Consider the following 25,231-nt stretch of genomic DNA (forward strand, 5'->3'; position numbering starts at 1 on the left):
TGGGAGGCTGAGGTGAGAGAATTGTTTGAACCTGGGAGGCAGAGGTTGCAGTGAGCCGAAAACACACCACCGCACTCCACCCTGGGTGACAGAGTAAGACCCTATCTCAAAAAATAATAATAATAAAGTAAAAAAAATTAAGTGATCTTACTATTGCTGTTGTTATTTACCCTTCAGAATTAAGCTCCTACTAGGAATAAATATTCACAAGAAACAGGAAATAAAACACCTTCCAAAAAAACAGGAAGTTTCAAATTCTGACTGTTGGTCCTAAATGACTCACGTTGACATTTCCCAGAACCAAATAACAACAGATGAGCTTTGTATTCTGCCTGCCTCCTTTACAGGATGGTAATGCACATGGCCAATTCCAGAACCAGTCTTCTTCCTTACACTTCAAGCAAATGCAGCTTCCTACCCTTATCATGTTTGTCTGTTTCTCTGCTTTAGTGGATTGCCCAAAAATCACCATTATGCAGCAAGTACTCAATAATGTTCACCATTACTATTATGAATATTAACTCTGATACCATGCAATGGTCCACCAGGCACCCATGAAACAGGAAGTGCTAGAGCTCCACACGCTGCCATGGGAACAAAGCCCCAACTGAAAACAACCCACATGTCCATCAATAGGAAAATGGTTAAATAAATTGTGGATTATTCAGAACAGGAACTGCTGCCATCTAGAAATTAAAAAGAATGAACTACTGATATGCACAACAATATGAATGAGTTTTGGTGAATTTTTGTTGAAAGAAAACAGCACTTTTTACCCATCACACAGGAAAAAATGTCAATATTCACTGTTGGCAAGAATGTGGGAAAGTGGTCACCTTCACTCGCAGTTGGTGAGATTATAAAATGACACAATTTGGGCCGAGTGCAGTGGCTCACACCTGTAATTCCAGCACTTTGGGAGGCCGAGGTGGGCAGACTACTGGAGCACAGGAGTTTGAGGGCAGCCTGGGCAACACGGTAAGACCCTATCTCTACAAAAAATTTTAAAATTGGCCAGGCATGGGCTGGGAGTGGTGGCTCACACCTTTAATCCCAGCACTTTGGGAGGCTGAGGCAGGTGGATCACTTGAGGCCAGGAGTTCAAGATCAGCCTAGGCAACATGGTGAAACCCCATCTCTACTAAAAATACAAAAATTAGCCAGGCATGGTGGCGGCTGCCTGTAGTCCCAGCTACTCAGGAGGCTGAGGCAGGATAATTGCTTGAACCCAGGAGGTGGAGGTTGCAGTGAGCTGAGATTGCGCCACTGCACTCCAGCCTGGGTGACAGAGCGAGACTCCCTCTTAAAAAAAAAAAAAAAAAATGGCCAGGGATAACATGCACAGCTATCCAGGAGGCCGAGATGGGAGGATTGCTTGAGCCCAGGAGATCAAGACCAGCCTGGGCCACATGGTGAGACCCTGTCTCTACAAAAAATACAAAAAAATTAGCCAGGCCTGGTGGCGCACACAGCTACCTGGGAGGCTGAGTGGGAGGATCGCTTGAGCCTGGGAGTTCAAGGATGCAGTGAGCCGTGATCATGCCACTGCACTCCAGCCTGGGCCACAGAAGACCTTGCCTCAATTAAAAAAAAAAAAAAGACACAATTTTTCAATTTCTTTTTTCTTAGAGATAGGATCTCACTAAGTTACCCAGGCTGGCTGTGAATTCCTAGGCTCATGTAGTCCTCCTGCCTCAGCCTCTCAAGTAGCTTGTCCTACAGGCTCACACCACCACACCTGGCTAAAATGACATATTTTTGAAGTATAAGTTGGTAGCATCTATCGGACAGGAACAAGTACCCTTTAACACACAATTCCATTTCTAGAAATATCCTGCAGTCAGAACTAGACGCACATGCAAGGCTAACTGCAGAAACAACACAATGTCCACCAGCATGAGTCGGATCAATGAGGTGTGTCCCACAAAGCACACATGGGGCTACCCTGCAGAGCAGACAGAACAGGTAAGCCCGGGCTGCAGCCCTGTCTCCACTCCTCACTAGCTGTGTGATTTGGCACAAGTCATCTCCCAATCTGTGGCTCACTTTTTCTAACAGCAAAGCACCTGCCTTACAAGAGAGATGGAGAGATTAAATTAGATCATTTATGTAAGCACTCCGAACGGTGCCTGGCAAATAGCAATTACTCAATAATGTTCACCATTACTATTATGATTATTAACTTTGATACCATGCAATGGTCCACCAGACACCCATGAAACAGGAAGTGCTAGAGCTCCACACGCTGCCATGGGAACAAAGCCCCAACTGAAAACAACCCACATGTCCATCAGTAGGAAAATGGTTAAATAAACTGTGGATTATTCAGAATGCCATGTAGAAATTAAAAAGAATGAACTACCGATATGTACAACAATATGAATGAATTTCAAAGATACAATGATGAATGAAAGAAGCCAGGCTCAAGAGCATATAAGACTATATAGGATTTATATTGAAGTTTAAGGACAAGCAAAAGGGATCTCTGGCGATAGAGATGAGAACGGTGATTACCTTGGGAAAGGGAAAGTGGGAAGAAATGGAAAGAGAGTCAACGGTCTTACAGGACCCCGGAATGTTTTCATCTTGATGATATGGGTGTTAGTTACCTGTGGGTATGCATAGGTAAAAATCACCCAGCTTACTCTTGGGATTTATGCATTTTGTTGGATGTAGCCGTGTGACCTTTGGCAAAGTGTTTAATTTCCGTGAGCTTCAGTCAGTTTCTCCATCAACAAGGATGGGTCTAATGATACCTGCCTTGCAAGGTTGCTATAAACGAAGAAGGTAAGGGTAAATACTTTGCAGATGTCTGTTTGTATGGGGCAGATACAACTGAGGCCTGTCTCCTGCCCCCAGACATGAGGTAGTCCAGGCTACCCACCCAGACTGAAAGGCAAATCCAAAACAATAGATGGCTCTGGAAACATTGATCAAAACCTGGGGCCTGCTATCTCAAAGGCAGGAAAAAAAACAAAAACAAAAACAAAAAACCTGGGACATCCAAAACAGACCTCAACACATGCTTTTCAGAGGAGGGGCTGCCAAGATTCAACCTCCTGAAAACCTCCCAGAATTTTGCCATCCCTATGAACATTCAGAAAGACAATGCTAAAATTAAATTCTGAATCTCAGCCCACCCAGCTGTACTCATAGTGAGTCCCAAATGACTACGTGTCATGCCCACCCACCAATCACTCTCTTGCTACTTACCGACATCACCAAATCCTCCAGAACCAATGTCCACTGGTCTGGGTGTTTCCGGTCTGAGAACCTCTGGTTTGCGAATCTCTGGTCTGAGCACCACTGGGGTAAGGTTTTCTAGGGTTGGCTTCGACAACTTTGCTGCTTGCCTGTTAGTTCGCAGAAACGAAGCCAGCATGTCCTGGCCTGTGTCCTCTAAGCAGGAGATGAACAAAGGAAGAGCCTGACTCCCTCGAGTCTCCAGATCTATGATCAGCTGCCTGGCCTGATCCCGCCGAGATCCAGAGCCTGCCCGCTGTTTGGAAAGAAAGGCAGGATACTAATTATCCACGTACTTTTATATGGCTCTCACCTTGTCTCCCCATTTCCCAGCTACTGTAAGTCTAAACAATCAGGCACGTGGGCAGCAATGGAGCTGCAGGTGCACTGTGTGCCATTTACCAGCCTTTGCTGATCTGTTCATTATTTTGCAGGGCAAAAGATGCCCAGCACTATGCTAAGTGCTGAAAATGCTGCCATGGACAGTCTCAGTCCTTAAGGAGCAAATTTCTAATGGGGAATGCAATCAGACAAATCAGCAATGACACAACAAGAGACAAGTGCCCAGAGGGAAGCACATGGGGCTGAGGATATCATGAAGTGAATAGCGAATTCAGAGTCTTATGAGGTGGGAGGTAGATAGTGGCAAGGGACAAGGCCTTTGTGTGGCCAGGCCAAGAAATTCATCCTGAGACCTGTCAGGTGCCACCAAAGAGTTTTTTGGTTTTGTTTTTGTTTTTTTTTTTTTTTCTTGAGACGGAGTCTCACTCTGTCACCCAGGCTAGAGTGTACTGGTGCAATCTCAGCTCACTGCAACCTCCAACTCCAAGGTTCAAGCGATTATCCTGCCTCAGCCTCCGGAGTAGTTGGGGTTACAGGCACACACCACCATACCTGACTAATTTTTTTTTTATTTTTAGTAGAAACAGGGTTTCACCATGTTGCCCAGGCTGGTCTTGAACTGACCTCAAGTGATCCTCCAGCCTTGGCCTCCCAAAGTGCTGGGATTATAGGCATGAGCCACCGTGGCCAGCCATCGGTTGTTTTTTTGTTTGTTTTTTGAGGAGTCTTGCTCTGTCACCCAGGCTGGAATGCAGTGGCACCATCTCAGCTCACTGCAACCTCCACCTTTTGGGTACAAATGATTCTCCCACATCAGCCTCCCAGGTAGCTGGGACTACAGGCACCCACCACCATGCCTGGCTAATGTTTGTATTTTTTGGTTAAGACAGGGTTTCACCATGTTGGCCAGGCTGGTCTCAAAACTCCTGACCTCAAGCGATCCACCAACCTCAGCCTCTCAAAGTGCTAGGATTACAGGCGTGAGCTACCATGCCCGGCCACCAAAGAGTTTTAAGAATGGAGTGACAGAGACAGATATGGCCTTTCAAAAAGTCATCCAGGGGTCAGGGTGAAAAATGGAAAGGAGTGAGCCATAGCCAGATCAGGAGGCAGCAAAGATGGTGCAGCTAGAATAGAGAGAAGTGAAAGGACAAAGCAGAGATACAAAGAGAGAGGGTCCATAGGACATGGGCACTGACTGGGGGGACTGTGAAGACAGAGCAAGGGTCAAGGTTGACAGGCAGGCCAGGCACAGTGGCTCATGCTTGCAATTCCAGCACTTTGGGAGGCTGAAGTGGGAGGATAGCTTGAGCCCAGTTCGAGACCAGCCTGGACAACACAGTGAGACCCTGTCTCTACAAAAAATAACAAAAAAAAAGCCAGGTATGGTGTCACGCACCTGTAGTCCCAGCTACTCAGGAGGCTGAGGCTCCCAAGAGGATGGCTCGAGCCCAGGAGATAAGGCTGCAGTGAGCTGTGATAGCACCACTGCACTTCAGCCTGGGTGACAGAGCAAGACCCTGTCTCAAAAAAAAAAATTGAGAGGTGTCAGGATGGTGGGGTCAGTCACTAAGAAGGAAGAGTCTGGTTATCTGCCACCTGTCCTCAGATACCCAGCACTGGACAGGTTCTCAGGATCCACAGGGATAAGATGGCACCGTGTCCTCAACTATCCTACAGCAGCACTGTCTATGAGAACCTTCCGTGATGATGGAAATATTCTTGGTCTGTATTGTCCTATTTAGTAACCATATATCACATGACCATTAAGCACTTGGGTAGTACAACTGAGGAACTGAATTTTTGTGGGCGAAAGATTACCCAGGTGCCGAGGCAAGAGACTGAAGCCACAAACTGTTTCAGTATAATAAAGAAAATAGTTAGAATAAGAATAGTCATAATACAAATTAGGTATAGAGATGATCATGGACAATTATCAATCATTATTATAAACATTATTAATCATTAGCTTTTAATATTACTCTTTGTTGCATTGCTAATATAACTTAGGAATAACCGGCGGGTATAGGGTCAGGTGCTGAAGGGACATTGTGAGAAGTGACCTAGAAGGCAAGAGGTGAGCCCTCTGTCAGGCCCGCATAAGGGCCGCTTGAGGGCTCCTTGGTCAAGCGGTAATGCCAGTGTCTGGGGAGACACCCATTACTTAGCAGACCGCGAAGGGGAGTCTCCTGCCAGGCGCGGTGGCTCACGCCTGTAATCCCAGCACTTTGGGAGGCCAAGGCAGGCAGATCACAAGGTTAGGAGTTCAAGACCAGCCTGACCAACACGGTGAAACCCGTCTCTACTAAAAATACAAAAAAATTAGCTGGGCGTGGTAGTGCGCACCTGTAATTCCAGCTACTCAGGAGGCTGAGGCAGAACAGCTTGAACCCTGGCTGGGCGCGGTGGCTCAAGCCTGTAATCCCAGCACTTTGGGAGGCCAAGGTGGGCAGATCACGAGGTCAGGAGATCGAGACCATCCTGGCTAACACGGTGAAACCCCATCTCTACTAAAAATACAAAAAATTAGCCGGGCGTGGTGGCGGGTGCCTGTAGACCCAGCTACTCGGGAGGCTGAGGGAGGAGAATGGCATGAACCCGGGAGGCGGAGCTTGCAGTGAGCCGAGATTGCGGCACTGCACTCCAGCCTGGGCGACAGAGCGAGACTCCGTCTCAAAAAAAAAAAAAAAAAAAAGGAAAATAGCTTGAACCCGGAAGGTGGAGGTTGCAGTGAGCTGAGATCGTACCATTGCACTCCAGCCTGGGCGAAAAAGTGGGACACCACCTCAAAAAAAAAAAAAAAAGAAAGGGAGTCTCCTTTCCTTGGAGGCGTCAGGGAGCACTCTGCTCCACCAGCTTCTTGTGGGAGGCTGGATATTATCCATGCCTGCCCGCAGTCATCCGGAGACCTAAACCCCTCCCTGTGGTGCTGTGCTTCCATGGTCACGCTCCTTGCCCACTTTCATGTTCCTCCCGTACTCCTGGTTCCTGTTTGAAGTTCATAGATAGCGGTAGAAGAAATAGTGAAAGTCTTAAAGTCTTTGATCTTTCTTATAAGTGCATAGAAGAAAACGCTGACATATGCTGCCTTCTCTCTCTGCTTCAGCTACCTAAAAGGGAAGGGCCCCCTGTCCTATGATCACGTGACTTGCTTCACCTTATCAATCACTTAGAAGATTCACCCTCCTTACCCTGTCCCCTTGCCTTATATCCAATAACAGCGCAGCCAGGCATTCGGGGCCACTACCCTGTCTCCACGTCTAGGTGGTAGTGGTCCCCCGGGCCCAGCTGTCTTTTTTTCTATCTCTTTCTCCTGTGTCTTTATTTCTACGATCTCTCATCTCCGCACACGAGGAGAAAAACCCACAGGCCCTGTAAGGCTTGACCCTACCAATTTTTAGTTTTATTTAATTTTAATTACTTCAAATTTACCTTTAACGACATGTGGCTAATGGCTACTGTTGGGAACAGCACAGACCTACAGTGCCACTGAGAAGGTAAGTCTCACTAGCAGAACAGTTGGCTACATGCAAATAGATGGTGGTGTTTAGGTTTCTCTCCACATTTGCTGAACACTCCAGGAGGTCAACACTGTGTTAAATGCATTGTTTCATCTTTTTCTCCCTCAATAACTTTATAGAGTTAAATTAGAACTTCCCAACTTTTTAGGGTAAAAAATTTCAGGGAAACTGAGTCATAGGGTTTTTCTGTTTGTTTGGCTCATTGGTTGTGGTTTTTTACAACTTGCTAATATGTAACAAGGCCAGGATGAGAGCCCAGATCCAACTGGTTCCAAAACCTGCCTGTTTTTCAGCCATACTGAATGGCAAAATGGCAACCTGTGGTTCCCACAAGGTTCTTAAAAAATTTCTGAATTTGTTGCTAACATTTTAAGCCAGGGAATTTGACAGAGGAATCAAGATTTTCAGCTTCTTTTTTAAGATGTGAAAGCTGGGCCGGGTACAGTGGCTCACACCTGTAATCCCAACACTGAGGCAGGAGAATCACTTGAGGCCAAGAGTTTGAGACTCATCTAGGCAACATAGCAAGACTCCTATCTGTACAAAAAAAAAATTTTTTTTAATTAGCCAGGCATGGTGGCATGTGCCTAAAGTCCCAGCTGCTCTAAAGGCTGAGGCAGGAAGACCACTTAAGCCCAGGAGGTCAAGGTCGCAGTGAGCCATGATCTCATCCCTGCACTCCAGGCTGGGCAAGAGTGAGACCCTGCCTCAAAATAAGTGTAAGATGTGGCAATACTGGGCCATTTGTTGATATGGCCATACTCAGCTGGAGACGGAGGGCAGTGCAAAGGCTATCCACTATGACGCCCATCCATTGGTCCTCCATGGGCATTTGAGTTTGTGATCCCCGTGAACATTCCTGAAGGCAAGGACTGTGGCCTCAAACCATTACTGTTCCCCAGTAGGGGCCACACAGAAGGCACAAAACTTATTTTATTATTAATGAATAATTACTCATATGATACTCAATTATTTAAAGACTCTTTCCCTGGGCCAGGGCACTGGCCAGGGATATCCAGCCAGCCACTCACACCTACTGCACCTCATGGTAGGAAATATCTCCTGCATCCTCACAGGCCTGTGATGAGGGTCAAATGAGACAAAGATGGGAAAGTGCTTTTAAACAAAACCTCAAATGTTTGACTTCATTATTCTCCATTCTGCATCAGGTCCCCTCATTTCCAAAACCTCTTAACAAAACATAAACTGAACACAGAAGGGGCTGGCCAAAGAGGGCAGGGTACGCTGATCCCCCGCTCTGTGCCTAGCACTACAGTTTCACATCCGTTATTTCATTTAGTCCTTATGACAGTATTATTCTTATTCCCATTTCACAGCCCAGAAACTGTGGCTCAAAGAGGGTAAGTGACTGGCCCAAGAACACGCTGCCAGGCAGCCTGATGCCAAAGTGGGTTCCCGAAACCTCTATGCTAGAAAAGTAAAAACGCACACGCCTCCTTCCTCGCAAGTATTAACGTAAATTAAAATGGAGACCAACCATGAAGAATTCCTGAGCAGACAAAACCAATCAGGTATCCTAAGTGACCTAAATCTTGCTTAAACTGCAAACATAAGCAAAATTTAACTTGGGTCATATCTGATAAATGCTTATGTTAGAGAGAAATAAAACTTAAGACCAGCCAAAAGCAGTCAATTAACAGACCTTAAAAAAAAAAGGCAATTTTGTAACTGCAAACCAATCAAATAATTTCTTTATTTTGCTTCCACATTTTCCCAATAAATACTTGCCTCTGACGTTTTGTCATTGCAACACTAAAGCTCTTTCAGTCTGATGTTCTCCAATTCATGAATTGTTTCTTATTCAAAGTTCTCAAGATGTGTCTCACATTTTTCCTTTACACAAGAAACACAAGCACTAACAGTGTACGCTGACTGAGTATGGCATGGAATCGCTTTAGCGAACACCCGACTAAGAGGTGTTTGGGATTCTTTGGCTCCGCTGAGGGGTTTGAAGCCACAGGGAAGGCTAGGCTCCCGCACAACGCCTCCTCGAGGGGCGTGGGGACCCGGCCGTGCAGCGCGGGGACAGGGGGCCGGGGGCGCACCTGGATGTCCTCGATCATATGGGGCCTGAACAGCTCGCGGCTCAGCAGGGCGTCCCAGAGCTGGTCCACCTGCAGCTCTTCCACCAGCCGCAGCCGGCACCGCCGCAGGAGCCGCCGATCCGCTTCGTCCATGGCGAGTAGCCAACTAAGACTCCAGGCCGCCTCAGTCCGCTTCCGGGCCTCGGCCGCCCGCCCCAGTCCCCAGGACCCGCCCCCGCCCCAGGGCCTGCCCCCGCGTCACGGCCCCGGGTCAGTCTTCGCTCCCCACCGCCTCCGGACGCATCTCCAAGGCCTCGCCCCGCCCCCAGGAGTCGCTCTTGCGTCACCGCCCCGCCCTCAGGACGCACCTCTGCGCCTCGCCCCGCCCCCAGGGCCAAGCCTCCCATCACCGCGCCGCCCCAGAACACGCTCCGCGTCACCGCCCCGCCCCAGAACCCGCCCCACGTCACCGCCCCGCTCCAGAATCCACCACTGCGTCCCCGCCCCAGAACCCGCCCCGTATCCCCGCACTGACCTCACGTCACCGCCCCGCCCCCGCGTTACCGTCCCGCCCGCAGGACGCATCTCCAACGCCTCGCCCCGCCCCAAGGATTCGCTCTTGCGTCACCGCCTCGCCTTCAGGACGCCTCCGCGCCTCGCCCTGTCCCCAGGGTCAATTCTGGGGTCACCGCCTGTCCCCAGAACCTGCCACCGCGTCACCGCCCACTCCCCGGGACGCATCTAGAAGGTCTCGCCCCGCCCCCAGGATTCGCTCTGCGTCATCGCCCCGCCCTCAGGACGCACCTCAGCGCCTCGCGCCGACCCCAGAATCCATTCCGCGCCACCGCCCCGCCCCCAGGATTCAACCCACGCCCCCACCCCGCCCCCAAGGTCAATCTTGCGCCACCGCCCCGCCCCCAAGGGCTAGCCTCGTGCCACCGCCCCGCCTCCAAGAGCCAATCCCCTCCCCTCGCTCCACCCTCAGAATCGTCCTTGCGTCACCGCTCAGCCTCAGACTCCAGTTCGCACTCTCGCCCCGCCCCCAAAGTCAATCCTCACCCCCAGGATCCATCCTTCTGTCACCGCCCCGCCCCAAGGCGGCACCTCCGCGACTCGCCCCGCCCCCAGGGCCCCGCCCCGCCCCCGCATCACCTCCCCACTCCGGGCGCAGGTGCCCTTTTGCAATTCTGGCACCAGTTCCTGGTCCACCGCGGGCCCTTCGCCAGAATTCACTATAGCCCCGCTTTTACAGAGATCCGGAGGGAGTCGTCACACTTCCAGCAAGAGGGAAACCATGAGTGGAGCCGTGATCTGTCCCGCCCATTCAACCTCCTCCGGGGCATGGCTTCCCCTTAGCCCCCTCCTCCACCCCAAGTAAAACCATAAGCTCCCCTCACCGCCCTTGTGCCCAGATCGCAGTTGACTGTTCCAAACTCGAGTGTCTGATCCAACCAAGCCCACCTTACACAGTCTTCCATTCCCTCTTCCCTCCCTCCCACCCTAACACCTCCCACACAGAAAAAAAAAAAAACGGCAGAAATCTAGTCCTGTAAACTCCCATCGTTCTGAACGGTTCATTTTCACATTTCAAAAATAATCGTTTCTGTTTACTGAGCATTTGCTAAGTCCCAGGCATCGTGCTAGCCACTTTTCATGCTTATTTCACTTATCCTTAACTACAATCCTGCCAGGAAAGTATTCCCACCCCCCGCCGGTTTTACAGATGTAGACCCTAGGGTTCAGGGAAACGAATGTTTAAGGTCACTTGGGTACTAAGTGGCCGAGGCAGGCAGGATTGAAACCCGAACCTGACTCTGTAAGCCACACTCTTAAGAATCCACCTTAGAATATAATCTCTTGAGCACCAAAACCTCAGCCCCATTCGTTCACTTCTACGAATATTTATTGAGCCTGTAGTCAAACACTAAGAACATGAAGGTGAACAAAACAAAATCCCTGCTTTTAGAGTTTACATTCCAGTGGAAGGATCAGGTGATAAACTATATCAATAAATAAGACATACTATGTTAGATAGTGATAAATGCAAAGAGAAAAAAATAAAAACAAGACAGGGAGATATGAAAGCTCTTTATATCCGCAAGGGATCTATCTCATTGGCTCAAAGAAAGTTTCCTTCACTTACCTGTGCCTTATCCCTCTCTCCACCCCCACCGCCCTTTCCCCGTGCTTAAGGCACAGACTGGTACATTCTTGGGTGGAGCTCGGTTTTCGGTAAACGGGATTAAAAGTCCTGGATTCTCTCAAAAAAAAAAAAGATAAGTAAACAAAAATAAAAGGAATGCTGGATTCTAGGCCTTGGGCAAATCTCTGCCCCTCTCTGGACCTCGGTCTCCCTATCAATATTGCAGGAGTTGGAGAGTTAAAGAATCCCTAAGGTCACTTCCAATCTGACGCTCTAAGGTTCTACGAATAGGGTTAAAGAGAATAGGGACCAGAGAGTGCGTCCCCATCCTAGCAACTGTTGCTAGACGAGGGCCATCTCCCGGTAGGAGCGGAAACACCTTCCTGGATCGAGGAGGTCCTTCTGGTATCCCATCATGCATAGCGACTTCGCCTCGCTAGGAGGCACGTTTTGGCCTCTTTGGTCACGATCAGCCTTTTGGCTGCAACCAAAGAGCGCGCCTCGTTTCTATAGCAACCACCCCAGGTCCACGCCTAGACGGCGAGTGGCAAGGGTCAAAATAGATTCGCCCAGTAGACGCCCTCGACCTGTTCGGTCCTCGCCTTCAGTGCGATAGACCTTTAAGCGTCACGTGACTCCCCTCGGGCTTGTCCCCTCCTCTTTCCCCTCCCCAGGCCCAGGCGAGCGCTGGTGTGGACGGGAAGCTCCCGGCCCGGCGAACTAACTGGAGCACGGAGCTGCAGCCGGTTGGGCCGGTGTACTTTCCCGGTAACTCCTTCCCGGCGTGACGCGCGGAACCGCGGACGCGGCGGGGCCAGGCCGACTCAGGGATTTCCCCTCAGTTCCTTCTCGTTTCCAGTCACTGCTGGCCCCGGGGGGAGCCGGGAGCCAACAGGGCCGGGCCCTGGGCTCTCGGAGGGCGGCGGGGGAGGGGGCTGTCTCCTGCAGGGTTGCGACCTCCGGCAGGAGCGCGAGGCGGGGCTTAGACCTGGAGCTTGTCTCTGGGAGCTTCTTCCTGGTCCTGGATATGCTGCCCAGAGAGCTGGCAGCCTACCTGTTGGGCAGGTGTTTGCTGCTCCGAGGTCGGCGCCGTCTATCTCGCATGTCAGCTAAAGAACTTCCCAGACCACCGCCACTTCGGCCCTCTAGCTGGAAGGAACTGACATGGTTAAATAAGGCAGCGATCGTACTGCATGGTAGAAATAATAGCACTAACGACCATTTGTTGACTGTTGACTCTGGGCTCAGTAAACCCTTTACATGCATTTAGTCCCCACATGATGATCCTTCAAGGTGGTAGTATTCATTCCCATTTTATGAATAAGGACGCTGATGCTTAGTAAGTTTAAATAATTTGCCCAAGGTAATAAAGTAGTGGAGAATAGATCCTAGTCTTCAACCCATATGCTTAACCAGTAGCTACATTGCCTTCACGTGTTTTCTAGGATATAATAGGTTGCCTTAACAAAGAAGAAACTGGTTTGTTTTAGGATTTTATTCAGCACGTATGCAATTTTAAACGTTGGTCATCAGATTAGTCAATTTTGTGAGGACTCCCAGGCGGCATTAAACTTGCACTTACGGAAATCCACCACTGTTATAGCTTTGCCCTTCTTCAGTAAGGTGTCACAGAAGACACTTGAACCTTAAAACTGTATTAACTTGTGAGAAATCAAGATAAATGTGTTCCTTGAAAAAAAACATTGTAGGGTATAACAGCAATCATAATTGTGGAGTATAAATATCTGCAGTTCCAGCACTACCCTGTTCATTAACCAGCCAGGATTATTTCCAAAATTCACAATGAATTAAGTCACTGTACTCACCAGAGATGGAGCTTGAAACTTTTAAAGACCACGCCTGCTATTTGGTCTTTGCCGTTAATTCTTCTTCACATGTAAAACTAAATTTTTTCTTGCCGCTTTTTCTCATCTGAGGTTTCCATTAATAATGACCATATTGGCCGGCGCGATGGCTCACGCCTGTAATCCCAACACTTTGGGAGGCCGAGGCGGGTGGATCACCTGAGGTCAGGAGTTCAAAACCAGCCTGGCCAACATGGTGAAACCCTGTCTCTACTAAAAATACAAAAAATTAGCTAGGCAGGGTGGCGCATGCCTGTAATCCCAGCTACTGGGGAGGCTGAGACAGGAGACTTGCTTGAACCTGGGAGGGGGAGGTTGCAGTGAGCTGAGATCCCATCATTGCACTCCAGCCTGGGCAACGAGTGAAACTCCGTCTCAAAAAAAAAAAACAAAAAAACACCATATTACTAATGATTAAAGAGCAGCTTCTCATTTTCTTGTTTGAATGGTGTGGTGAGAAAGAATAGAATTGAGGCATACTGCGTCTTAACTACACAGTTTTTTGAGAGTGTTTCACGTCCATGTTTGTACTTATTTAATGCCCAAGAATGCCACAACTATCTCATTTTGTAGTTTTGTACATGGTAAATCTTACAGTTTCATGAGTTTGTTTAACATGTACTCAATGAAGTATTCTTAAACCATTTATTTTATTTATTCTTATCAGAATAAATGAAATCATGTATTTGAGAGGTAGTCGTCCTGATTATCCTATTTAGGTTTTCTCTCATTTATGTATTATTTCTGCATCCCATTCATTTTCATTCATTTCTAAAGCTTTTCTAGTCAAAGTGTTCTGGAGAGTTGCTATTCTTATTACTCATCTTTTCATCTGTAATAGTTCTCATTTGTGATATTCAAAAGCAGTAGCGAGATTTTTATTTTAAGATACAGTTCAACAGCTTGACACTTTTCCTGCAAAATACCTTTTGTTGGTTTTGTTTTTCATCTATATATCTTATACCTTTACCTAAAAAGCAAGACTGTCCAGGTTTCTGCCACTGAAACTCATTGCCTCTTCAATCATTTCAGCTCTGGAAAGGAAGAGAAATGGAAGTGAGAAAGTTGAGCATTTCCTGGCAGTTCTTGATAGTTCTGGTTCTGATCCTGCAAATTCTGTCTGCGTTGGATTTTGACCCATACAGAGTCCTAGGGGTCAGCCGAACAGCCAGTCAGGCTGATATTAAAAAGGCTTATAAGAAGCTCGCCCGGGAATGGTAGGTGAAACAAAGAAATAGAGGTTTAACATAAGCTAAACAGTCTTAGCAGGGATGAAGTCTAAATTATGACTAGCTTTTATTTGTCTCTGTTTCTATGTTCAATATATATATCTGTCTAAAATATTTTACGCAGGAGAGCTAATGTTCATGTTCTATAATTGTTAGCGATAAGATCCAAAGCCTATGTTTACTCTGAAACTCCCTTTTAGGAATACTTTGGCTTAAAGAATTGCCTTAGATACTGTTAGCATATTTAATGTTAAAGTAACAAGTTTTAATTTTAAAAAAATGTATATATAGTCAATAATGGATATGCTACCCTTCCCATGATACATTATTCATAAAGTAACTTTATGAGTGTAATTGCTAAACAGGAACACTATACAACCCTATTCTCTAAATTATTAATTTCTACACTTTGAAAAAAAGTTAAGAGTAATAGCCTTTTGCCTCCAAAAAAAAAAATTCAGAAACCAAGGATAGTTGTCTCTTGATATCCATGAGGTCTTGGTTCCAGGATCCCCAGAAATACCAAAGTCATTGGATGCTCAAGTCCCTATATAAAATAGCATAGTATTTGCATATAATCTATGCACGTCCTCTCATATACTTTAAATCATCTCTAGCTTACTTATAATACCTAATACAATGTAACTGCTGTGCAAATGGTTGTTATACTGTTATTGTTTAAGGAATAATGACAAGAAAAAAGTCTGTACATGTTCAGTACAATGCAATTTTTTAAAAATATTTTTGAATATTTCAAAATAGAAAATATTATATTTTGGTTGGTGGAATCCATGGATGTGAAACCAACAGATATAGAGGGCTGACTATATATTACTCAAAAAAAAAAATTGGCCTGGCATGGTGGCTCATGTTTGTAATCCCAGCACTTTGGGAGGCTGAGGTGGGAGGATCGTTTGAGCCCAGGAGTTTGAGACCAGCCTGGGCAACATAGTGACACCTCATCACTATGGAAAAAAAAAAAAAGCCCAGAAGTTTGAGGCTGAAGTGAGCTATAATCACACCACTGCACTCCAGCCTGGGCAACAGAGTGAGACCCGTCTCAAAAAAAAAAACTTACAGAAAATTGTAATTTTGCCTGTAGTTATCAGGATAGCAATTAGCAGGGTAGCAATAAATCTAAAACTTTGGACAAATATCATCAGTTTCTTCCACCAATGCCTTGGCCATGCCAAAGAAGCAGAAGTGTTGGATTATATAGATGGAGGGGGAGCAGCAGAAGGAGGAAAGGACAGAGGTGACTCCAAGCTGGCTGTACCAACCATGAGGAATGGAAGAAAGTTTGGGACAGGTACCATCACTGAGCACCTACTACATGCTAATCTCCTGGTTCTATACTTTTTATCTCATTTAAACCTTATAATGAGCCTATGAAGGAGGATATCAGTATCTCTTTTTTTTTTGAGACGGAGTCTCGCTCTGTCACGCAGGCTGGAATGCAGTGGCACAATCTTGGCTCACTGTAACCTCCGCTTCCTGGGTTCAAGGGATTCTCCTGACTCAGCCTCCCAAGTAGCTGGGACTACAGGCGTGCACCACCACACCCAGCTAATTGTTGTATTTCTAGTAGAGACGGGGTTTTGCCATATTGGCCAGGCTGGTCTCAGACTCCTGACCTCAAGTGATCCGTCCACCTCGGCCTCCCAAAGTGCTGGGATTACAGACGTGAGCTACCATGCTCGGCCAGTGTCTCTGTTTTATAGATGAGAAGATGGAGGCTTAGAGTTGGTAAATCTGTGGTACCTCTGGGTTCCGTAGTTTGACCCTCTGCATCAGTAGTCCATTGCTTTATTGTTTTTTAATCATTTACACATCTAGGCATGAGTAAGGGTGAGTGGGCTAATGGTTGGCTGGGGAGGAGCTGAATGCGAGTAGGAAGTTATCCAGAAGCAAAACTGCCACATTGAGGTGATGCATGGTACAGACTGCATGCGTGACTGCGCCTGACACTGTTCTGCTTCAGTGAACAGGTATATTTTAGCATTAAACTGGTTGAAATAAAGGTAAAGATCATTGAAAATATATTTTTAAAATAAATGTTTTAGACCATATTCCATGAGAAATCCAGAATTGGATGCCAAAGAAGCAATCTCTAATTATACATGACCTCCTTCCAGGGACTCTTTATACCAAGGTTATGTTCTACATCATTTCAGACTCTTGCCTCTTTATGTTTAAAGCAGGATATATAAATCTGCAGCAAATTCATAAGGTAACAACATTCTTTTGGACAAGGCATAGCCTTTGACAATATTTTAAGAACACAAGTGACAGCTTGAGTATGTGGGACCTATTAAAATGTATAGCTTTGACTTTTCTGTCTTCCAGAGCTGAAAAGGGTGTTATGATATTAATTAAATGAGTCATATTCTTCTCTTTTTTAATTAGATTCTCTCTAGGAATAATTCATCACCATAGAAGTGTATTGAGTGTGTCATCCAGTAAAAGTCTAAAATTTTACTTTACGTTTTTAATTTTGCTCTACTATTATTTTCTGCGGTTTTGGCTATGACAATGCTTTGTCACTTGGAATAGTTTAAGTTTTGCTTACTAATGGCTTGATATACACTGAAAATAGCAGTGTTTCCCAGTTTGACTTTTCAGAATGAGCTATAGCAGGGGGAAGTGGTTACTTGTTGAGTTGGATCTGGAGCCTTCCTCTGATACATTTTACTAAGTGTTTCTTAGACTGCTTAAGAATTTTACTTTGCTTGGTGAAACCATTTGACTTTACTTTTTCCCTTAGGAAAACTATGTTTTTCTCCCAATAATTAAGTTTTATCGTAGGTACTTTTTGTTTGTTATCCACATTAGCAAAAGAAATAACTCCTCCCACCCAAAGAATGGCAGATTGGTGTGACGTGGTTATGCAATAAACTAACAGTAAATTATTTTGTGTAATTCTTTGCTGTATTACCTTCTCTATCTTTGTTTTTATTCCTTTAAGAGGTAACTAGAGAGCCAGTAGATACTACACGCAATATTTCCTCTACTTTGAATTTTAAAGATTGTGTATTATATTGCAGTTCCTGAAATAATTTCATATTAACTGAAAATAGCATTGGACAATACTTTCCTATGGCTGAATTTTTTTTTTTATGTTTTCAACCTTGTGGTGTCTTCCCACAATTAGGAAAGTATTCCGTATGAATACAGCTGAAAGTGCTGTGGTTTCCTCCCTGTTCTTCAGCCTTGCCCTCCTCTGTTTCAGGATCTGTGTTTTCTAACCTAGCTGCCCTCAAGACTCTCTCTTTGGTTCATTCTCCTAAAAAGCCCCTTCCTACCCTTCTTCTACAGAGTTCTATATGTTAAATCTTCATTTGTATGATTGCATAATTTTTGATCCACTCAGTCGTCAGCCTGATGGTTTGGTTGATGGGTTGGTTTTGTTGGTATTTTTGTGTTTTTTTTTGTCATCCAGAAATGCTTTGGAGTCTCCATCTCGTTTCCTTAAGTCATGCTGTTTTCATTATGACTAGCTGAGATTTTTTTCCCCCACTAATACTCATAGCAAGGATTAAATGGTTAAGGAAGGAATGATTTTTAAACTCAGCAGTCAACAATTTGGAGTTTCCTTATTTGTAGAGAAATCAGAATATGTGGTATAATTCATTCAAACACATTCCTGCTAGAATAAATCCATTAAGTTGTAGATTTTTTTTTATTCCAATGTGCTTGGTGTATCGTTAATAGTCATTTGCTTCCCAGTGAATTGTTTTTCTTTCCAGAACCTATGTCAGAGGAAATTTACTAGAAGTTACCAAAAGTGATTATGTAAAGAATACTGTCATACAAAGTCTCTTAAAGTGAACATTGAAAAATCAGTCCATATAAAACACTGATTTAGGTCTTAGGGGCTTTCAAGGAATTAAACCTAGCCCTTACTATCGAGAACTTTAAAATCTCCAAAGCTGGCCGGGTGTGGTAGCTCACACCTGTAATCCCAGCACTTTGGGAGGCCAAGGCAGGAGGATGGCATGAGTCCAGGAATTTGAGACCAGCCTGGACAACATGGCAAAAAATGTTAAACATGTGGCATTGAGGCCGGGCGTGGTGGCTCACGCCTGTATTCCCAACACTTTTGGAGGCCGAGACAGGTGGATCATTTGAGGTCAGGAGTTTGAGACCAGCCCAGCCAACATGGTGAAACCCCATCTCTACTAAAAATACAAAAATTAGCCGGGTGATAGTGGCGCAGGCCTGTAATCCCAGCTACTCGGGAGGCTGAGGCAAGAGAATCGCTTGAGCCTGGGAGGCAGAGGTTGCAGTGCGCCAAGATTGTACCACTGCATTCCAGTCTGGGCAACAGAGTGAGACCCTGTCTCAAAAAAAACAAAAAAACAAAAAAAACAGTGGCCTTGAAATCTTTATCCAGGTAAAAAGCAATCGTAATAATAACGAAAAATGTTCTAATTTGAAAGTCAGGCACAAGTGCAGTTTGAAACCTGATTGTTACTAAATGAATTTAGTCTATCCTAAAAGCTATTTCTCATGTCTACCTGTGTTATCAGAAGAAACAACAGCATTCTAGCATCCTGATATCATTCTAGCATTGGGATGAAACGTTGCCATCCTAGGAGAAGACATGGGTTCTTATGGATAAACGACTTAGCCTTCAGCCAGCTTTAGCAGTGTTTGGGAGCAGTGTACAGACATGCACCATTTCCCACCTTCCTCTGTGAAATGCTGCAGTATTATATGGTGCTTTGAAAACATGCCCTGCTGGAGTGCTTTGGGAAAAAATAGCCTGTTTCAAAGTTTCATTTATTATAGTCATGTAAAACAACTGATTGCCTCTATCATTTATTTTAAGAAACTTTCCTAACAAAATAGCCCTCCGTCTGCCTCTGTAGTGAACTCTGTGGACAAGGACATTAAATGACTGTGCATTAAAAGTTACATCCTTTCTCACCGCCTGCCTGTTTGTGTTTCAGGCATCCTGACAAAAACAAAGATCCTGGAGCAGAAGACAAGTTCATTCAAATCAGTAAGGCTTACGAGGTATCGTGTCCAGCTTTGTGATGCATCCATTAGCTCTTACAAAATATGCCTTAGGAGGTGATGAGTTTTGTAAAGTTGTCAGAAAGGTCATGTTCCCCATGCCCTTGATGCAGTTTCTAGATTATAATAGAGAGAACAGGCTGGATGCGGTGGCTCATGCCTGTAATCCCAGCACTTTGGGAGGCCGAGGTGGGTGGATCACGAGGTCAGGAGTTCGAGACCAGCCTGACCAACATGCTGAAACCCTGTCTTTACTAAAAATACAAAAAAAATTCGCCGGGCGTGGTGGCACGTGCCTGTAATCCCAGCTACTCAGGAGGCTTAGGCAGGAGAATTGCTTGAACCCGGGAGTGGGAGGTTGCAGTGAGCAGAGATCGAGGCCTGGGTAACAGAGGGAGACCGTCTCAAAAAATAAAATAAAATAAAAAATAATAGAACATATTTGGCCACATCCAGTATATTGGAACAAGTGCCTGAACACTTCAGCTCTTGGAAAAACTGGCCTATTTTAAAGGCTTTAACTAGAATTGTAGAATTACCCTGAGTATGTCTGTATGTGTCACTATTGCCTTCTTAGAAATATGCATTAAAGAATCACATACCAAATCGCCTATATTTATTAAAGTGGCACGAGGTAACAAATACATTTAAACACAAGATTTTCAGTAATTTTCCAGTATGTCAGCTCAAGTAGATTGGTCTGGAATATGCATCAAAGAGAATTCAGTGGCTTTCTGATTTGTATAGGGAATGCCCTTCAGCAGACAGTGCTTAGCTCATAGAATAACACGTCATCATTCTAAAACAGATTCCTGAATTTTAGACTTCAAAGTTATTTTGTAAAACAAAGTAAATTAACAGACAAGGCACTAGACTATAGCTATTTGGTGTTCATAGCTTTTCTTATCTTGGTTTGAATTGGTCCAACTCACCAGGTATGACCAGGTCAATTTTCTTGTCATTGAGCCCTGGTGATCAACATTATGTTATTTTATTTGTTTTGCTGAAGTGTTTAATGTTGTGGTAGTTTGAAATCTTTAATGCCAAGATGAGCATGAGTACCTAAACTGAAATATTTTAGTCTTGAATGTTCTTTAATGTTTCTCTAGTGAAAGAAGAGTTTCTCATTCTTTTGAATGACTGCATTTAGAATATCTAATCGGCTGGACCCAGTGGCTGCTCACGCCCTGTAATCCCAGCACTTGGGGAGGCTGAGGCATGCAGATCGCTTAAGCTGAGGAATTCAGGACCAGCCTAGACAACATGGTGAAAAATACAAAAATTAGCCAGGCATGGTGGCATGTGCTGATGGTCCTAGCTACTCAGGAGGCTGAGATGGAAGGTTGACCCTGAGAGATGGAGGCTGCAGTGAGCTGTGATCACGCCACTTCACTCCAGCCTGGGTGACAGAGTGAGACTCTATCTCGAAAAGAAAAAGAATATCTAATTATGTCATAATCTTTTTTCTTTTTTCTTAAGAGACAGTCTGTCTCTGTCACCCAGGCTGGAGTACAGTGATGCGATCACAGCTCACTGCAGCCTTCAACTACTGGGCTCAAGCAATCTCCCACTCACCTCACCCTCCCAAGTAGCTAGGACTATAGGCACGCACCACCATGCCTGGCCGATTTTTTTTTTTCTTTTTGTAGCAAAGTCATGCTATGTGGTCCAGGCTGGTCTTGAACTCCTGGCTTCAAGGGATCCTCCAAACCTTGGCCTCACATAATCGTGTCATAATTTTTACATTTCTTTTCTTTTCTTTTCTTTTCTTTTTTTTTTTTTTTTTTGAGACGGAGTTTCGCTCTTGTTGCCTAGGCTGGAGTGCAGTGGCACCATCTCGGCTCACCTCAACCTCCGCCTCCTGGGTTCAAGCAATTCTCCTACCTCAGCCTCCCGAGTAGCTGGGATTACAGGCATGCGCCACCACTCCCGGCTGATTTGATTTTTTGTATTTTTAGTAGAGACGGGGTTTCTCCATGTTGGTCAGGCTGATCTCAAACTCCCGACCTCAAGTGATCCACCCGCCTCAGCCTCCCAAAGTGCTGGGATTACAGGTGTGAGCCACCACGACTGGCTGCATTTATTTTCTTCCTATGTCTTTCAAGCTGCTTACAAAAAAGTCTTTTGGATGAACCTTTTGTTGTTGTTTAGATTTTTTTCTTCCTTTATAGATTCTTTCAAATGAAGAAAAGAGATCAAATTATGATCAATATGGAGACGCTGGAGAGAACCAGGGCTACCAGAAGCAGCAACAGCAGCGAGAGTATCGCTTCCGCCATTTCCATGAAAATTTTTATTTTGATGAATCCTTTTTTCACTTCCCTTTTAATTCTGAACGGCGGGACTCAATTGACGAAAAGTATTTATTGCACTTTTCACATTATGTGAATGAAGTGGTTCCAGATAGCTTCAAGAAACCCTACCTCATCAAGATCACCTCCGATTGGTGCTTTAGCTGCATTCATATCGAGCCTGTGTGGAAAGAAGTCATTCAAGAACTGGAAGAATTGGGTAAGATAATTTTATTCACTGAAAGATATTTATATAGATGACTTTTTTTTTTTCAAGATGGAGTCTTGCTCTGTTGCCCAGGCTGGAGTACAGTGGTGTGATCTCGGCTCACTGCAACCTCCACCTCCCGGGTTCAAGTGATTCTCCTGCCTCAACCTCCCGAGTAGTTGGGATTACAGGCACCCACCATCACGCCCAGCTAATTTTTGTATTTTTAGTAGAGACAGGGTTTCACCACGTTGGCCAGGCCGGCTTCAAACTCCTGACCTCAAGTGATCTGCCTGCCTCGGCCTCCCACAGTACTGGGATGTCAGGTGGGAGCCACCATGCCTGGCCCCAAAGCAGGTTTTTTAAATTGCCTATTCTATAAACCCTTTTTGAAAATCTTTCTTAAATGTATTAGTCTGCTTTCTTCAACTCTGTGACTCCGAAGCACCAATTTTTTACTTATTGTGAGCTGAGCCTTGAAGGGGGTTGGAAGTCAGCTAAGGAATCTTCAGTCACACACTGGTAAAAACTAGTGTGTAAAAGCATCCAGTGTTTAAAGAGAAGTGTGCTGTGGAAGAGGGCCCAGAACTAGCACCATCCCTGACCTTGAGTTCACCATTTGGTTGAAGAGAAAATATATACACAGAGAATTAACACTGACCTCACATTTGCAAGCACAGAATAATGTTTTACTGAAGGAGTAGACAAAGATGACAAGAAATTCCTTCTGTATTTTCTAACTCCTTGCCCATGAAACAGATACCTTCGTTTGAAACTTTTTTCTCAGTCAACTTTCATGTTCCAATTACTGTATTAGACACTAAAGGATATATAATAATAATAATTTTTATTGAACATTTCAGTTCCCTTGCATTGTGGTAAATGCTTTCTGTGCATTATTTTTGTCCCCAGAGCAACTCAATGAAGGAGAGACTATTATTATCTCTATTTTACAGGTGAGGGAACTAAGGCATTGAAGGTTAAGGAACTAATTCATTATTACACTACCCATAAGCATCAGTATTGGGTTGGACCCAGGAGTCTGACCGTCTTAAACACTGCGCGCGTACTGCTTCAGAAATAAGTAAATCATGGTCCTTGTGCCCAGGAAACTCACATAAGAAACATACCTCAATCATCTCAGCACATTTAGTGCTTGCTGGAAGGTGCAGGCAGAGCTACCAGCGTGGCCCAGAAGTTGAGCATCTTGAAATCAAATATCATTTTAGGGAAACTCAATTTGGATGATCAGGCAGTGATTACCTGGGTTTGGCAATTTATTCACCATGACTTCCTGTTTAAAAAGAGAGACTGCTGGGCACGGTGGCTCATACCTGTAATCCCAACACTTTGGGAGGCTGAGGCAGGTGGATCACAAGGTCAGGAGTTCGAGACCAGCCTGGCCAACATGGTGAAACCCCATCTGTACTAAAAATACAAAAATCAGCCAGGAGTGGTGGCGGGTGCCTGTAGTCCCAGCTACTCCGGAGGCTGAGGCAGGAGAATCGCTTGAACCCGGGAAGCAGAGGTTGCAGTGAGCCAAGATCGTGCCACTGCACTCCAGCCTGGGTGACAGAGCGAGACTCTGTCTCAAGAAAAAAAAATAAAAAGAAAAAAAGGAAGACTAATTCCTGGCCAGGCGCAGTGGCTCATGCCTGTAACCCCAGCACTTTGGGAGGCCAAGGCAGGCGGATCACCTGAGGTCAGTAGTTCGAGACCAGCCTGGCCAAAATGCTGAAACTCTGTCTCTAGTAAAAATACAAAATTAGCTGGACATAGTGGCACGTGCCTGTAATCCCAGCTACTCGGGAGGCTGAGGCAGGAGAATCACTTGAACCCTGGAGTTGGAGGTTGCTGTGAGCTGAGATCACACCATTGCATTCCAGCCTGGGCAGTGAGCGAAACTCTGTCTCAGAAAAACAAAAAAAAGACTAATTCCTATCTTTTAAGGATTTCTAAGTATATAAGAGTCTCATACTGTCTAGAAAAAAAGTCATCCTAAATACTGGCAAAAATAACGCATTTTTCTGCTTTAGCTCTGTGTTCTTGATTTTGTTTCATTTCACGTTATTTTGCATCTTGTGGTTAGTGTACCAGCATGTTTGTATTTAGCCACATTCGAGTGGCGTGTTCTTCCAGTTGGCTCTGTGCCATCCCCTAAGGCCTATTCAAAGGTGGAGAGAAAATTAATGTGTATGTGCAGCTGAGGGGGGAAAAAACTTCCCTAAAGGGTGTGATATGTGTTTAGGATTGCTTAGTGAGAGCTGTTTGGCATCTCAAATTATGGGTATGACAGATGTTTACTAATGCACGGAAGACCCTCTCACAGCCTCAGTATAGTATTTTTAATTCCCGAGGGTGTGCAGATTAGCCAGAAGCATCAATTTATATAAACATCAAATAATGTTTCTGAAATAAGTCACATATGCCTTTTTATTTTATTTTTTTTTTTTATTTTTTTGAGACGGAGGCTCTCTCTGTCGCCCAGGCTGGAGTGCAGTGGTGCGATCTCTGCTCACTGCAAGCTCCGCCTCCCAGGTTCACACCGTTCTCCTGCCTCAGCCTCCCTAGTAGCTGGGACTACAGGCACCCATCACCACGCCCGGCTAATTTTTTTGTATTTTTAGTAGAGACGGGGTTTCACCGTGTTAGCCAGGATGGTCTCGATCTCCTGACCTCGTGATCCGCCCACCTCGGTCTCCCAAAGTGCTGGGATTACAGGTGTGAGCCACCACGCCTGGCTTTTTTTTTTCTTTTTCTTTTAAGAGACATCATTCTGTCACCCAGGCCAGGGTGTAATAGCATAATCATGGCTCACTGCAACCTCAACCTCGTGGGCTTAAGCAGTCCTGCTGCCTCAGCCTCCCAAGTAGCTGAGATTAGAGGTGCCTGCCATTGTACCTGTCTTTAAATATCTTTTCGGGAAGAAAAATACCACAAATTGGCCAGGCATGGTGGCTCACGCCTGTAATCACAGCACTTCGATAGGCTGAGGTGCACAGATCACTTGAGGTCAGGAGTTTGAGACCAGCCTGGCCAACATGGTGAAATCCCGTCTGTGCTGAAAATACAAAAATTAGCCAGGCGTGGTGGTGCGTGCCTGTAATCTCAGCTGCTCAGGAGGCTGAGGCAGGAGAATTGCTTGAACCCAGGAGTGGAGGTTGCAGTGAGCCAAGATCGAGTCACCGCACTCCAGCCTGGGCAACAGAGCAAAACTCTGTCTCAAAAAATAAAATAAAGTGGCCGGGCATGTTGGCTCATGCCTGTAATCCCAGCACTTTGGGAGGCCAAGGCGGGTGGATCACCTGAGGTTAGGAGTTCGAGA

At 45.4% G+C, this 25,231-nt stretch overlaps 2 protein-coding genes across 12 annotated transcripts in view, besides 8 other annotated features; one reads left to right on the plus strand and one right to left on the minus strand.

The window, feature by feature from the left end:
- CASP9 (caspase 9) overlaps window positions 1-10,016 on the minus strand; it is a 33,512-nt gene extending 23,496 nt beyond the window's left edge. For 5 of the 9 annotated variants that reach the window (NR_102732.2, XR_007064158.1, NM_001278054.2 and 2 more), the window contains exons 1-2: window positions 9,173-9,319; window positions 3,214-3,499 (exon numbers count right to left, since the gene is read on the minus strand). Coding sequence is in view for 6 of the 9 variants with exons in the window: in NM_001278054.2 (NP_001264983.1) it covers window positions 3,214-3,499; window positions 9,173-9,304 (418 nt within the window). In the remaining 3 variants the exon portion in view is untranslated. Of the gene's footprint in view, window positions 1-3,213; window positions 3,500-9,172; window positions 9,320-9,686; window positions 9,895-9,955 lie in introns of those variants that run through there. The other 4 variants (NR_102733.2, XM_005246014.3, XM_047432034.1 and 1 more) reach the window with 4 other exon arrangements.
- Window positions 9,289-9,678: a silencer, noted in NCBI's record as "silent region_304". NCBI's record gives its function as "represses an Ori minimal core promoter by ATAC-STARR-seq in GM12878 lymphoblastoid cells {active_cell/tissue: GM12878}" and the evidence as "EXISTENCE:reporter gene assay evidence [ECO:0000049][PMID:35858748]".
- Window positions 9,959-10,398: a silencer, noted in NCBI's record as "silent region_305". NCBI's record gives its function as "represses an Ori minimal core promoter by ATAC-STARR-seq in GM12878 lymphoblastoid cells {active_cell/tissue: GM12878}" and the evidence as "EXISTENCE:reporter gene assay evidence [ECO:0000049][PMID:35858748]".
- Window positions 11,608-12,111: an enhancer, noted in NCBI's record as "H3K27ac hESC enhancer chr1:15852999-15853502 (GRCh37/hg19 assembly coordinates)". NCBI's record gives its function as "activates a minimal SCP1, AML or CMV promoter by ChIP-STARR-seq in primed H9 embryonic stem cells {active_cell/tissue: H9 hESC(primed)}" and the evidence as "EXISTENCE:reporter gene assay evidence [ECO:0000049][PMID:30033119]".
- Window positions 11,627-11,726: an enhancer, noted in NCBI's record as "active region_238". NCBI's record gives its function as "activates an Ori minimal core promoter by ATAC-STARR-seq in GM12878 lymphoblastoid cells {active_cell/tissue: GM12878}" and the evidence as "EXISTENCE:reporter gene assay evidence [ECO:0000049][PMID:35858748]".
- Window positions 11,837-11,976: a silencer, noted in NCBI's record as "silent region_306". NCBI's record gives its function as "represses an Ori minimal core promoter by ATAC-STARR-seq in GM12878 lymphoblastoid cells {active_cell/tissue: GM12878}" and the evidence as "EXISTENCE:reporter gene assay evidence [ECO:0000049][PMID:35858748]".
- Window positions 11,952-25,231, plus strand: part of DNAJC16 (DnaJ heat shock protein family (Hsp40) member C16) — a 44,886-nt gene continuing 31,606 nt past the window's right edge. For 2 of the 3 annotated variants that reach the window (NR_109898.2, NM_015291.4), the window contains exons 1-4: window positions 11,952-12,062; window positions 14,192-14,376; window positions 19,341-19,407; window positions 21,579-21,918. Coding sequence is in view for 1 of the 3 variants with exons in the window: in NM_015291.4 (NP_056106.1) it covers window positions 14,210-14,376; window positions 19,341-19,407; window positions 21,579-21,918 (574 nt within the window). In the remaining 2 variants the exon portion in view is untranslated. The remainder of the gene's footprint in view (window positions 12,063-14,191; window positions 14,377-19,340; window positions 19,408-21,578; window positions 21,919-25,231) is intronic. The other variant, NM_001287811.2, reaches the window with a different exon arrangement.
- Window positions 12,098-12,392: a silencer, noted in NCBI's record as "tiled region #4011; HepG2 Repressive DNase unmatched - State 1:Tss, and K562 Repressive DNase matched - State 1:Tss". NCBI's record gives its function as "represses a minimal TATA promoter and a strong SV40 promoter by Sharpr-MPRA in HepG2 and K562 cells {active_cell/tissue: HepG2 | K562}" and the evidence as "EXISTENCE:reporter gene assay evidence [ECO:0000049][PMID:27701403]".
- Window positions 12,098-12,416: a biological region, named in NCBI's record as "Sharpr-MPRA regulatory region 4011".
- Window positions 12,317-12,416: a silencer, noted in NCBI's record as "silent region_307". NCBI's record gives its function as "represses an Ori minimal core promoter by ATAC-STARR-seq in GM12878 lymphoblastoid cells {active_cell/tissue: GM12878}" and the evidence as "EXISTENCE:reporter gene assay evidence [ECO:0000049][PMID:35858748]".

The sequence above is a fragment of the Homo sapiens genome, chromosome 1 (genome assembly GCF_000001405.40).
Source record: "Homo sapiens chromosome 1, GRCh38.p14 Primary Assembly".
Taxonomy (NCBI): domain Eukaryota; kingdom Metazoa; phylum Chordata; class Mammalia; order Primates; family Hominidae; genus Homo; species Homo sapiens.